This window comes from Homo sapiens, chromosome 6, assembly GCF_000001405.40.
Source record: "Homo sapiens chromosome 6, GRCh38.p14 Primary Assembly".
Classification (NCBI taxonomy): domain Eukaryota; kingdom Metazoa; phylum Chordata; class Mammalia; order Primates; family Hominidae; genus Homo; species Homo sapiens.
Genome location: NC_000006.12, coordinates 112,655,578 through 112,669,818, shown reverse-complemented (window position 1 = coordinate 112,669,818; position 14,241 = coordinate 112,655,578).

The window sequence follows — 14,241 nt, the reverse complement described above, 5'->3', positions numbered from 1 at the left end:
TTCACATGTAGGACCTGCCATTTCTCTCATGTGGCAAGAGAGCAGGGAAGAGATCATGAGCTGGAGCACAAGCTAGAGAGGTCTCTTCTTTTCCATACAAAGCCTAAGGCTGCCCAAATTGACATTCAGCAATCAGATTATCATTCCTTTCTCTTTGGGGAAGACTGAAGAAGAATTGGAGGAAAAGACTGGAGAGCTTCCAGCTGGATATCACTTTTAATGTTTGTATTTTCATAATAAAGGAATAAGATTGAATTGACTATTAATGATTTATATGTTTAGAATACTCTTGTTCTAAGCATAAGTGTATGTTCTGTCTTGGCTACAAGGAACGCATTAAATTATGATTAGATTGGCACTTTCATATTCCTTTAATATTCCATGTTCTTTTACATATTATTTATTATATTAGAAATTTAAAAAGAATTGAATTTTATAGTCCCCTACTCAAGAATTACAGACAGGCCAAGAGCTAAAATATATACCTGGCGGAGTTACTAAGAAATGATTTCAGAATGACATGAGTTCAATAGACAAAGCAAGGTTTTCTCAGACTATAAATGAGATTCTGCCAGGCTGGGCAGTAAATGCAAAGAGCCCGATTGTGTAACCACCCTTAAAGACATTATCTGCTATAAAGGAGAAGGCTTTTTATATATGAAATCTAAATTCCCTCATGCATGAGGACTCTGATCCTTTCTTCCAGCTACCTGGAAAATATTACCTAGAAACAAGCAAGTTCAGACCAACTATTCTAATTTTAGCTAACATTAAAAACAAATCATCTTTTTAAACTACGTGGATGATATAATTAAAAACAAACAAACAATCATGAGGTCCTCAAACTTCATTCTGCCTTCTGGTGAGATCAAACTAATTTATCTCAATGTGTATTGTACCCATAAGAATACACAGTGATTTGTCATGTTCAGCACCAATTTGATGTTCTCCTAAATACTACATGGTGTGGTTTGGCTGTGCCCCCACCCAAATTGCATCTTGAATTGTAGTTCCCATAATCCTCATGTGTTGTAGGAGGGACCCAGTGGGAGGTAATTCAATCACGGTGTTACAGAATCTTTGGGGTGTCGCTTTTCTGGCTGGAAACCTCTGTAGCCAGTGGTGCCTTTGCCTGAGCTCTTCTCTGACATCCAGGAAGAATGAGTTATGCAGACAAGTGAAGGGTGAGCAAGAGAAAGAGGAGCTTCATTGAGTGTTAGAACAGCACAGAGGAGGCCCACAGTGGGTAGCTCCTCTCTGTAGGCAGGTCATCCTGTTGAAGAGGATACCCTGGAGTGGGTGGTTCCTCTCTGCAGGTAGGTGGTCTCATCCTCTCTGCAGCTCTCAGCAGAGAAGAAGCCTGAAGTGGGTGGCTCCTCTCTGCCAGCAGGTCATCCCAAGGAGTGTTCAGCATTTGGCAGAGAGGAGGCCCTGGAGAGGGTGGGTCCTCTCTGTAACTGGTCATCCCAATATCTGCCCAGCTCCTGGCAGAGAAGAGGCCCTGGGGTGGGTTGTTCCTCTCTGCAGGCAGGTCATCCCAAGGAGTGTTCAGCTGTCTGGCAAGAGGAGGCCCTGGAGAGGGTGGCTCCTATCTGCAACTGGTCATCCTAACATCTGCCCAGCTCCTTGCAGAGAAAAGGCCCTGGAGTGGGTTGTTCCTCTCTGCAACTGGTAGTACCAATGTCTCTGCAGGTTTCTGAAGCTCTCAGCAGAGAGGGTAGCTCCTCTGTGCAGCTAGTTCTCTCTGCAGCTGGTCATCCTGTGGTCTGTTCAGCACTGGCTAATCCAGGGGCTTTTATGGGCCTCAAAGAGGAGGAAGTGCACACCAATCAGTCCATGGATGGCCATGGGTGGGCCCAGAAAAGGCACTACAAGTTCCTACTCCTGTCCATGAGACTGGCAGCCAGGATCCCAGCCATGAGGCCCTCCCTGGCTGAAATATGGGGTTTCACCAGGGACCCACACTTTTCTGCCCAGGAACCTGTCTCCTGCTGCCATTCATGGCAACTGGCTCTCCCAGTTTTGCTCTGAGACCAGAGCAGGCACTGACAGCAGGGAGAAGCCAGGCAGTGGGGGCAGGCACTTTTAAGCCTGCAAGGGCAGGGGGGCCTTCCTGGGCTCCCAAGTGTACAGGGTTGCTTGAGTCTGCAGCCACTGTTTGGGTGGCTATAGCTGTGCCCAGAGTGGGTGAGGCTTCTGCCTGCTCCATGGACTGGGAGGCCCAGATCTGTGGCCATGGTTTGGGTGGCTGCAGCTGCACCAGAGATGGCAGGGCTCCTGCCTCCTCCAGGCCCCTCAAGAGCACAGGGAGGCTTGGATCTGCAGCCACAGCTTAGGTGGCTGCAGCCACACCAAGTGGGACAGGGCTCCTGCCTGTTCCATGGAGTGGGAGGCCGGAGTCTGCAGCCATGGTTTGAGTGGATGCAGTGGCACCCAGAAGAGCAGGGATTCTGCCTGCTCCTGGCCCCCTACGAGCACAGGGAGGCTTGGATCTGCAGCCACAACATAGGAGGCTGCAGCCCCACCCAGGAGGGTGGGGCTTCTGCCTGCTCTGTGGAGCAGGAGACCTGGGTCTGCAGCCACAGTTTGAGTAGCTGCAAGGGCACCCAGGGAGCTCTTACCCCAACTCAGAAGGGGTGGGGACCCTCCTTGTCACCAGCTCCTGCTGGCCCCACTGATCGTGCAGCTCCAGTGATGCTTCCTTGCTGCAGCTGGCATGATGGCAGCAGCAGGGCATCTGGAGCAGCTACTGCTATCAGTGGAAGTGGGTTTTCCCAAGCTGTTCTTGTGACAGTGAATAAGTCTCATGAGATCTGATGGTTTTATAAAGGGAAGTTCTGCTTCACATGCTCTCTTGCCTGCCTCTATGTAAGACGTGCTTTTGCTCCTCCTTCACCTTCCACCATCATTGTGAGACCTCCTCAGCCATGTGGAACTGTGAGTCCATTAAACCTCTTTTTCTTTTTCTTTTTTTTTTTTTCTTTTTGGAGACAGAGTCTCGCTCTAATGCCAGGCCGGAGTGCAGCGGCACAATCTCGGCTCACTGCAACCTCTGCCTCCCGGGTTCAAGCGATTCTCCTGCTTCAGCCTCCTGAGTAGCTGGGACTACAGGCGTGTGCCACATGCCCAGCTAGTTTTTGTAATTTTAGTAGAGACGGGGTTTCACCATGTTGGCCAGGATGGTCTCGATCTCCTGACCTCGTGATCTGCCTGCCTTGGCCTCCCAAAGTGCTGGGATTACAGGCATGAGCCACTGTGCCCGGCCAAAGCTCTTTTTCTTTATAAATTACCCAGTCTCTGGTATTTCTTCATGGCAGTATGAAAATGGACTAATACACCACATCTTCTAATTACTTGTACTAAATAACTTTGGAAGGGGCAGTTTCTAAGGTCAGTCATAGTCCTTCAACAAGCTATTTATGTATCTGAACTCCTACAACAACATGTAAAGATATCACACCTTTGTCGAAGGACATGTGATCTTTTCAGAACTCACTTTATTGGAAAGCCACTTCTGCTTCAGAACAAGACAGAAATAACTTTCTTTTGATTTAACCATCACAAAAATAGCAAAATACCTGTATTTCAGAATTTAGCACTGAAGTTATCCAAATTAATGTAAAGAGATTATAGTATTCTTCCATTCGCTTTTGGTATATAAGAAACTCCTGGACTAGTTTCAAAATTTGATTGTGATCTAACTCAACCTAACTTGACACCTCTCTCTTCTATTCCCCTTCAGGAGCTTACTGATTCATCCATATACTAGTGCACAGTGAACATGATATTTCCTGTTGCTATGGAATTGATGACTAGGGCTCACAGCAAAGGAAAAAGAGTCACAGCACTTCACACCTTTTAAAGAGAAGCTCAGACATGAACTATTCTGCCATAATCTGGATAGCCTATCCCCAACACAGACACACACATACTTTCTCTCTCAAACACACACACACACACACACACACACTCTCTCTCTCTCTCTCTCTCTCTCTCTCTCTCTCTCTCTCTCTTCCAAATCCGTTTAAGCCAGAGATTAGGAAAGGAGAAGAGGGAATTGTCAGTGGTAAGTCCCAAATATAGCAGTATATATAGTGGATTTTCCTTTCAATCCTCAAGCCAACATTGAAACAGAGAATCAGTCACAGAGATTGAGAACTCCCTCAAGAAGGTGGCACTGTCACCTCATTCCTGTGTGGGAATTCTACTAACCCAAACAACTTGCCAGACAAGCAGTTCTGCTACTTTAATAGAATACAATACTAGTATCTGGATTTGAGCCAACCTGGTGGTACCTGGTCCAAGAGCCAATGGGCAAGGAGCTCCAGCAGCAAGAGCCTGGGTGGGAAGATGCAAGATTGTTGAGACAAAAATGGAAGAAACACCACATTTCCTCAACCACTATCATAATGAATGCCCCCTAAAGAACTCTGTCACGTGTTCCATGGGAGACTCAGCATTTGAGTGTCTGTTCCCAGAGATCCTAGGGTGCTGACAACAATGCAGTGGTATCCAGAGAAAGAGCAGCAACCAAGAGATGATTCATGTGAAGCAGAGTAAGCGGACAATAAATATCAGCTGCTATTAGTGTATCCTTGGGATTTTTTCCAGTTCTGATGAATTTAGAAAGTATTTGGCAAGTGGTGACATTAAATATCACTACTGAATAATTAAATGAGGACTTAAAAATCTGATGTATATTCTGAGATACATGTTATAACTCTCAAAGTCTGAGACTCACTATTTCTTCTTGAGATTACGGAGAATATATGTTGTCACCCCAAGTTATAGATCACTGCATATAACATTTTAATATTATTAAATTAAATGTAAGTTCAATCAGAGCATTTGAAATAACTGTCTTTGAGTATTACTCCCTGCCAATAATTTTGCCATGCAGCAGAGCTTTAGTCAACTCAAATTAAGGATGGGTCATAATTTCACCAATTTGAAAGCTAAAATTTAAGATAAAAAGTTGTAATTCACTTAAAAATTTCAAGAGGTGATTGATTAAGTAAATATGATCATGCATCACTTAACTACAAGGATAAGTTCTGAGAAATGCATCATTAGGCAATTTCATCACTGTGCACACATCATAGAGTGTACTTACACAAACCTAGATGGTACAGCCAGCTACATACCTAGGCTACATGTTCCTAAAGCAATAAAATTGTACAGGATTTTACTATACTGAATATTAAAGGCAATTGTAACACAATGGTAAGTATTAGTGTATCTAAATCTATGTACATACAGAAAAGGTACACTAAAAATATGTTATTATAATCTTAGGAGACCACATCATATATTTGGTCCATCACTGATGGAAACGTCATTATGTAGAGCATGACTATACATCCTTTTAGATCTTAAAATAGTTGTTTTCAGGCAGTTTTGCCAATAAAAATTAAAGAAACTACATTTTAAATCACCTCAATTATTTCCTCCAGTTACTTTAAAGCTTGTGTACTTATGTAGTACAATTTAAGTTTTCTTAAATAACTAAGTTAAAATAAAGGAGTATTTGAAAACTAGAAAGTATTTAGGTATATTTTCATGACTTATTTTAATAATCTTATTCATTTAAATATATTAAAAAGAACTTTCATACTAATATCTCAGGAGTGTATAATTTTAATCATTTTTAATTGATGTGTGGTCTCACTTTGCTTTTCTAGTCTTTTGAGTAATATCCTGCTATTTGCTAGCTTTAAAGGTTGTCAGTCACTTAGTCTCAATCTCATAATGACCCAACACCAAGCAGAATTGGATCCATTATCAAGCAACTTAAAATAAGTATAAAAGAGTGAGGTCTTTGCTGTTCCATTTAAAACATGGAGTGCTATGAGTTGAATGCCGAAACTTAATGCAACAGTATTGGGAGGTGTGGCTTTTGGGAAGTGACTGAGTCATAAGGGCTCCACCTTCATAAATGGGATTTGGTGCATTTATAAAACGGCTTGTGGAGGAAGTTTGCTCCTTTTCACCCTCTGGCCCTTCTGCCATGTGAGGACACAGTGTTTATTCACCTCAGGAAGATGCAGCATCAACTTGCCATCTTGGCAGCAGAGAGCGGTCAGCATTAGACAACAAACCTGCCAGCGTCTTGATTTTGGGCTTCCCAGCCTCCAGAGCTGTGAGAAATAAATTTCTGTTTTTATAAATACCCAGTCTCCAGGACTTTGTTATAGTAGCACAAAGCGGACAAAAACGTGGAGTATGAGTAACTGCAGCACCACTATATTGTCATATATCAGTAGGAAGCGCTGATTGTCAGAGACAGCCAATAGAGACCCCACTTTGTAAAATCAAATAAGGTGCACTTATCTAAAAGAAGTTAAAGTAGACAATGAAGGCTTACACTTTAGCATCCTAATCCTCACTAGGGGTACATGTTTATAGATTATAGCATCTGAACAAGCACCAAATCAGACCTTTGGAAGTTCTATTTCCCCATTCAAGTTAAGTCTTATATTTTTAAGTCTCTAACAATCTGCATGTAAGCCAGACTGAATATATACCAGGGACTGCTTCATTTCAGCCAAGTGTGTCCTATCAATCTTGATGTTATACAACATACCTGGTATGCAGTGCCATGGTTCAGCATGCACCAGTCCTCATTTGTCATACTCACGTTCCCCAGGATAATACATCCTGGCCCTGGCACTTTCCTGAGCACAGAGTTTCAGAATGAGAAGTAGGGTCAGATGTCTCTGGGAGACAGGCTAACGGGCTCTCAGACTAGCAATAAGGCTTATAAGCTCCCCTAAAATAGTAATAAATATTCCCATGACAATTTCTCCATACATTCCCCAAGCTCTATCTTCTTGGTTAGCTGAGAGAGCCTCCAGGATACACTGATGTTCTAAGGCCAATAAGGTCACTGTCATTTCTTCTACTAATTTACAATTATACGTTTTTAAAATAAAGTCTGTTTACATTCTTGTAGAAGCATGACAATGAAGAAAATCAAAGTACTTGTGAAAATATGAATGATAAGTACTCCATTTCATTATTAAAAAGGCCTAAATAGGCTAGTTTATTCTTGCCAAACTAAGATGCAAGCAATTCAATTATTTTTCACAGAACAATAAATAATATACATTTAATATGCACAATTATTTCATTTCATTTCAATTGTCATTCTTCAATTATAATAATCCCAGATATTTTCTAAAATAGGTTCAAATATATTTTAAAGAATTACATGTGCATGTGTGAAACCTCTGCATAATACAATTTTTTACAGGTCTATCACAGACTATAGACATTATTGTTATTATTCCTAAACTTTTAACACTTAGGAAAAAGGTATCAACCTTTTCCTATGAAAAAGTCACTTAGAGTTGGATGCACTGACTGAACTTAATGTGTAGTCACAGTTAACATTGGCACATTATTCACACAAATTCTGCCCACAGAACTTCATATTATAATTATTTGTCACGAAATTGTTATAGACACCTTAAGTATTACATATAATTTTTTTAATTTAATTTTTTTTTTTTGAGATAGAGTCTCACTGTCGCCCAGGTTGGAGTGCAGTGGCATGATCTCGGCTCACTGCAACCTCTGCCTCTTGGGTTCAAGTGATTCTCCTGCCTGAGCCTCCCGAGTAGCTGGGATTACAGGTGTGTGCCACCATGCCTGGCTAGTTTTTGTAGTTTTAGTAGAGACAGGGTTTCGCCATGTTGGCCAGGCTGGCCTCAAACCCCAAACCTCAAGTGATCCTCCCACCTAGGTCTCCCAAAGTGTTGGGATTACAGGCGTGAGCCACTGTGCCCAGACTTAATTTAATTTTTATAAGGAAGAAACTTTATAGTATCGGAAAATTTCTATCCAGTAGGTCCTGGTGAACTGCCTTGCTACTAGCCAGAGATTTTGAGGTACAGAGGCTTCCCCGCCACCACACCCACACTCCTATTGTATAAATGCAGTGACACCTTGAAAATAATGGCAGGTAGAGAACAGAAACAGTGATTATAGGAAAATCTCAAATAGTGAAAGGGTGAAAGCATGGGAGAAAATAGCTCAAAGAAAACATGCTGGTATTTTCACCTTTTCTTTTCACCAAGTATTACATCTGCTTTTGGATTTGACTGATTAATACAAGCTTCTATAATACCTACCATATTCCTGTGATCCAAGGAAAAAGTAACAAGATTAAATATTTAATGAGAGAGACTAAAAATAGTATTCTTTACCTGTTTAAAAGCAAAAATAACGGCATCTCTTCCTTTTCAGTCTTCTCAGCTGATTTTTTCCATTGATATGAATTCTACATAAAGTATGGATGCATTTTGGGCTGAGGTAGAGATTGAATTAAGAGATATGAGTTAGAAATAGATGTATGAAAAATGTAAACAAGGTCTAGATGATTAATCTGTAGTACTTCAACTCATTTTGTTCATTTAATCTGGTATCACAAAAGGATAATTTTCATGCACTAATGACAGATGTCACTATATTGTAAATATTGGCAGTCTTTATCAATTTTAATTGATTCAATCATAGAGTACCCTTAAAGTGTCAAAAACCTAACAAGACACACAAAAATAAGAAATTAAGTTTTTTCATTTTTCTAGATTAAAATCTTTCCTCTCTATAGTAAGATTTTTAATTTAAAAATTTACTTATACTAAAATTTATGTAATTTTGTATTGACATAAAATTGTCTCATTTAAAAAGTAATTATAGTGAAATTTCACCCATACAACAGGGCATAGGATCATTTCTTCCTGTTCTGCCCTGTTAAGTACAACTATAAATATCAACAATAATGCAAGAAACAATCAAAGGAGAAATCTGGAAAGTAGAGAGAACTGGTTAGGGGCAGCAGAACTAGAGGAGGAACATAGCAACAGGTCATTTTATGTCCCACTCACCCTCAAAGAATGCTCTCCAGGCTTGATGTTTCCTAACTCCCAATCTAGCAACAGAAGGCAGCCCAGGTAGACTCGTTCCTTTCCTGGATGGAGAGGCTGCTGAAAACACCCAGCAAGCCTGGCGGATGTAGCAACAGAAATTCTTCAGGGGCTCTGCTCAAAAGAAGTTGCCAGAGGCAATGCTATCTTTCCCCCATGAGCCTGAGACTCTCCTCATCCCAACCCAGAGATGCTGGACTGCCAGGTTGCAATGGCAAGAGGAAACTTGTCCCAATAACCAGCCTGTCTCAGGAAGCTTCATGTTCCTCACTGTCCAGAAAACATTTTCTCCCATGTAGAGACACCAGGTGGCTGGTGGCACCAGCAAAGAGAATCATGTTTCCACAAGTGACCCAGCCTAGAAAACACTTTTTGTCACTATGTGCAGGAGACCTCCTTCCCCTAGCAAGAGGCAGCAGGCAACCTGGCCTGGAGCGCTCCTTCCACCCACTCAGGAAACACCACAGGGACCAGTGGGATCCGCAGTGGCACCAGGTAAACCAAGCAGACCAAAATAATAACACGAAGGCTCTGAAAAGAAAAATGTTGACCCATAGCCCACAACATTAGGCCAAGCCCTGCACAGAAAACCTAAACAGGGTGACTACCTGCTAAAATAAAAGAATCTAAATGGGACTCAGGGTCTCCTTTCATCCAGTCCCTTCAATCTTGTTAGCATTTACTCACTTAGATGGCTTCTGCCTAAAATGCTGTAAGAGGGCCTCACAGAGAAGACCCATTTAAAGGAACTAAATCATTCTGTACTCTGTCTGCACAGATCAGAGATAAGTTTCATAGAGGCTTCAGGGTGGTGTACTGAGAGTAACAGAGAAAGAAAAAAAAAGAGAACAGAGTCCTTGCATCACCCATTGCAAGAGAGATTTCTCTTCTTATATTGAGGTCATTTATTAAATTGACTATCTTACTATTGGCTAAGTGCAAAGAACACCTGATTTACCTAAGTGTATTAAATTGTAGTATTTTCTTTATCTTTTTCTTTTTAGCTAATTTTTAATTAGTGAATCTATTTTCATGACCTTAATTTTTATGATTGAAAATTTAGACTGTATCTCCAAATACTCCCTCAACAATTTAATATTTCTCTATTTCCGGGATATTTTGCATTTAAAAGCTATTCTACTGCCAATGTGTTTAGCCAACTGCATTCAAAGCATAAGATAGAATATCACTATATAGGGAAAAGGCTGGGCATGGTGGCTCATGCCTGTAATCCCAGCACTTTGGGAGGTCAATGTGGGCTGATCACTTGAGGTTTAAGACCAGTCTGGCCAACATGGTGAAACCCTGTATCTACCAAAAGTACACAAATCAGCTGGGCACAATTGCGGGCACATGTAATCTCAGCTGCTCGGGAGGCTGAGGCAGAAGAATTGCTTGAACCCAGGAGGCAGAGCTTGCAGTGAGCCGAGATGGCGCCACTGAACTCCAGCCTGGATGACAGAGTGAGACCCTGTCTCGAAAAAAAAAAAAAAAAAAAAAAAGACTATCACTATATAGGGAATAGATCATTTCTAAAAAGCTATTATTTTGTATCATCCAACAGCAAATTCATACAATTTTTGTAAGTTCCCACAATTTTTCACTTAATAAACTTATTTAAATGTTGGTCATTCACCTTAATGCTTTATTTTGAATTTCAAATAAAATAAAACAGATTTTCTTTCTATAATGTGTCATGACATTAATACTTGGTGATTTCATTCATTCATAATAGTACAGTATAGAATAAGCCATTAACATATTTAAGAGAGTCATGACACCATCTTTTACTAAGAAGGAATCTATATTACCTTGAATTCTAATGCCTCTGTTTTCTCCTCAAAACACTCAATCTCTTTTTCCTTTATCTTAACAAACTATTAAGTTAAAGGATGTAAGTATACAATATTTCTGCTAAAGTAGAAAAATTCATCTTGAATTTCATACCAAGATTTCTGTAAATACTTAACCTTGTGCAAATAAGTGCAGCAGAACTGCAATGAACATATCATCACCTAATGGTGATCTCCATGACAAAAAGATGCTTCACTTTATGTAATTTAGTTTGCTATGGAACATATCACAAAGGAAGGCTTAGCAAGATAATGATCCTTTAAAATCCCTCAAAAGCTTGCATCACTGAATAAAAGCCAAGACACCACTTGCTTTATTGATTGCCTTTATTTGGAACCTATACTCCACAAGCAAATTGGCTCTATCATATATGTTATGGCTTCGACTTATAGTTTATATAACTGCACTAACTATCTCTCCAACATGTGTGTTCATGAGGCTGGGGAGGGAGGCGACAACAGCAACACCACACAATCGGTTGTGAAATACAAAATAAAACATGAAAATTAATTGCCATGAGTCTGTCCATGTGAGGACCACTTATTCTGGCAGGACGCTATCCATGTTCATAAGGTCACATGTCAAGTTCACAGAAAGGTCTACCTATTGAAGATAAACTATGGGAAACGCATGTGTCCATTCCACCCATAGACTGATAGGTAAAGTTGCAGTCCTGGCCCCATGCTTGCAAGAACCTCAGCCATTGTCACAAACACATGCTCTTGAGCTACTCTGGGTTAACACAGAATTCCTGGGTAACCTTATGAAATAAAACTGCACATGCCTTTTATGTTTTATAAGGGTGCCCTGAATAGGTGTGTGATAATGTCTTCTTCATCCTGCACCCTGCCTGTCACTGGAGGCAAGTTGGTAGACAGTTCCCTGTTCTGCAATTAGTGCATAAGGACATTGGATCCACCCATAGGATGTAATGGGAAGACATGGAGTGCTCTTCTTTTGCCAGCATACAACCACAGCCCAGTGAATAAACCATGGTGTATGAATGCATGCTTCCTAAAATTCCTAACATTGTGAATCAACTTTGGGAGCCCAACAAAGGAAGACATGAAAACAGACTTCCACACAAATTTATCCCATAGCCGTTTTATCTATTTTTGCCCCCCAATTATTCTTCTTAAGTATACTTCTTCCTAAAACCTTTTTCTTTCACTATTTTTACAGTAACAAATCAGATATCTAGGCTCATATCCCACTTATGGCTTGTAAGTGGTGGAACTGGGCTATGGGTAGGTAAGCTATCATGGGTAAGCTGCTTTACTGGATTATACTTCAATTTCTATTTTGTAAAATGAGAATGGAAGAGCATTTACTTCATAGGTTTGCTCATGAAAATTAAATTGGTAAATTATGAGAATTCCTTAGGATTTGTCTCATAATAATCAATAGCCATTATTAATATGATTATTATTATTTAAATAGGTTTTCAAATCTGACCAATACTGTAAAGATTTAGAAGCAATTAAGTAGAGAGTCTATAAGGGAAAAAGACATATAATTCTAGATAATTATCATGTAAAATTCTATTGAAAGATGTTATTTCCCATGAGCCTAATGCTTTAAAAATAATTATACTAAATAATTATTGATTTGTTAAGGTGGCAGGAACTCTGCCTTTTTCTTTCTACCATTATATTAGTCAATTCAGGCTGCTATAACAAAGAACCATATACGGGATGATTTATAAACAACAGAAATGCATTTCTCACAGTTCAAGAGGTTGGAAGTCCCATATCAGGGTGTCATCATGATTGGGTTCAGGTAAGAACCCTCAGGTTGCAGATCACTGACTTCTCGTGGTATCCTCACGTGGCCGAAAGAGGGCTAGCTAATCTTCTGGCCTCTTCTTGAAAGGACACTAATCCCATTTATGAGGGCTCCATTCACATGACCTCCTAAAGGCCCTACTTTTAAATACCATCACAATGGGATTAGGGTTTCAACATATGAATTTGGGGAAAACACAAATATTCAGTTCAAAACAGCCATAAAACCAAAACAATTAGGCATATTTTATGCTGCCTGAAGTAGGCCTTAAATATGAATTATTAAAATTTGATTCACGGCACACAGAGAGGAAAATATAATCACTAGAAAATAGATGGCTTCATTAAAAACAAATAAGTTTGAAAAACATAGATCAAGTATTGGTATGAGAATACAAGTTTAAAATAATTCTTCAAAGTGGTACAGTGTTGAGTGTTGGAAATGGCTTTTAAAAGGTTTAGATCTTGTTCCCAACTGCATATTCAAGACTCACAGATTATATTTTCTCTTGGTAGTCTCTGACATATGGGCACATCAGAAGGGGAATGAAAGATGCCTAATAACAACATAAATGTATCAAACACTTGCTCTGCATTACACTATTTTACTTAATCCTGAGAGAAACATTATGAGGTAGAAATGATTTTCCTAATTCTAAAGTTGAAGAAACCTGAATAATTTGCTCAAGATTGTATAGCTGAAATTTAAAATCAGGTTTTTCTTTATCAAAAGCCTATGCATTTTCTTTTTGCTATGACATGATGTCATTTATATGCCATTACCTGGGAAAATTCTTAAATGAATTATGTTTTAAAAACATTTATTGGCATTTAGAATAAGGAAACTGATCTTTAAAGTCAGTTTGTTGTCTCCAAGGAAAAGTAATTCAAAACAATTTTTACTTGCTTGTTTTTCAAGGATGCTGGAAAGGTTGAGCAGGGGAATCCTTTAGAAATCTGAGTATCAAAAAGGCATCATCTTTCATTATATTCTTGTGGTAAAAAAATGTATATAAGCTGGGTTATAGCACAAGTATGTACATTTAAAATTGTTTGGAAACAGCAAAGTGTTTTTCATAGGGACAAAAGTAAATATTGAGAGAAGTATTTAAGTGTATCAAAGGGCTTATCTTTAGTAGCACTCAGCCTATGCAATCAATACTTTACTAAATGATTTTGATAACGATATTCATGGTGGCCTCACATATAAGATGATATGACACTGAGTGATATGGAAAATACATTGTATGAAATAACTAATATTGCAAAAGAAACTCAACACATTGGAATAGTGTGACATATCTAATTAAATAAAGCTTGACAGGGATAAATGGAAAGCCCTGCTAGTTGCTCCAAGAAACTAACTTAAAAATTATAACTTGGAAACCACGACTCCAAAAAATGCACTCAAATATAATGATTGAAAATAAGCTCAAAATTTGTAAAGGAAATATGTGACTAAGAAAAATCTGATGGGATTGTAGGTTGCACTAATAAAATATAGTAGATAGAATAACTGGTGACAGTTCCTCATTGTATTGATCTAACTACATCTGGATTATTTATGTATTTCTATATTAATTTATTTATTTGCCTTAGCACTATTATTTCAAGAGTCATAAATCATCACAGTCTCAGGAGCAAGAAGAGAGCAATTTAAGGAGTAAAAGAATATG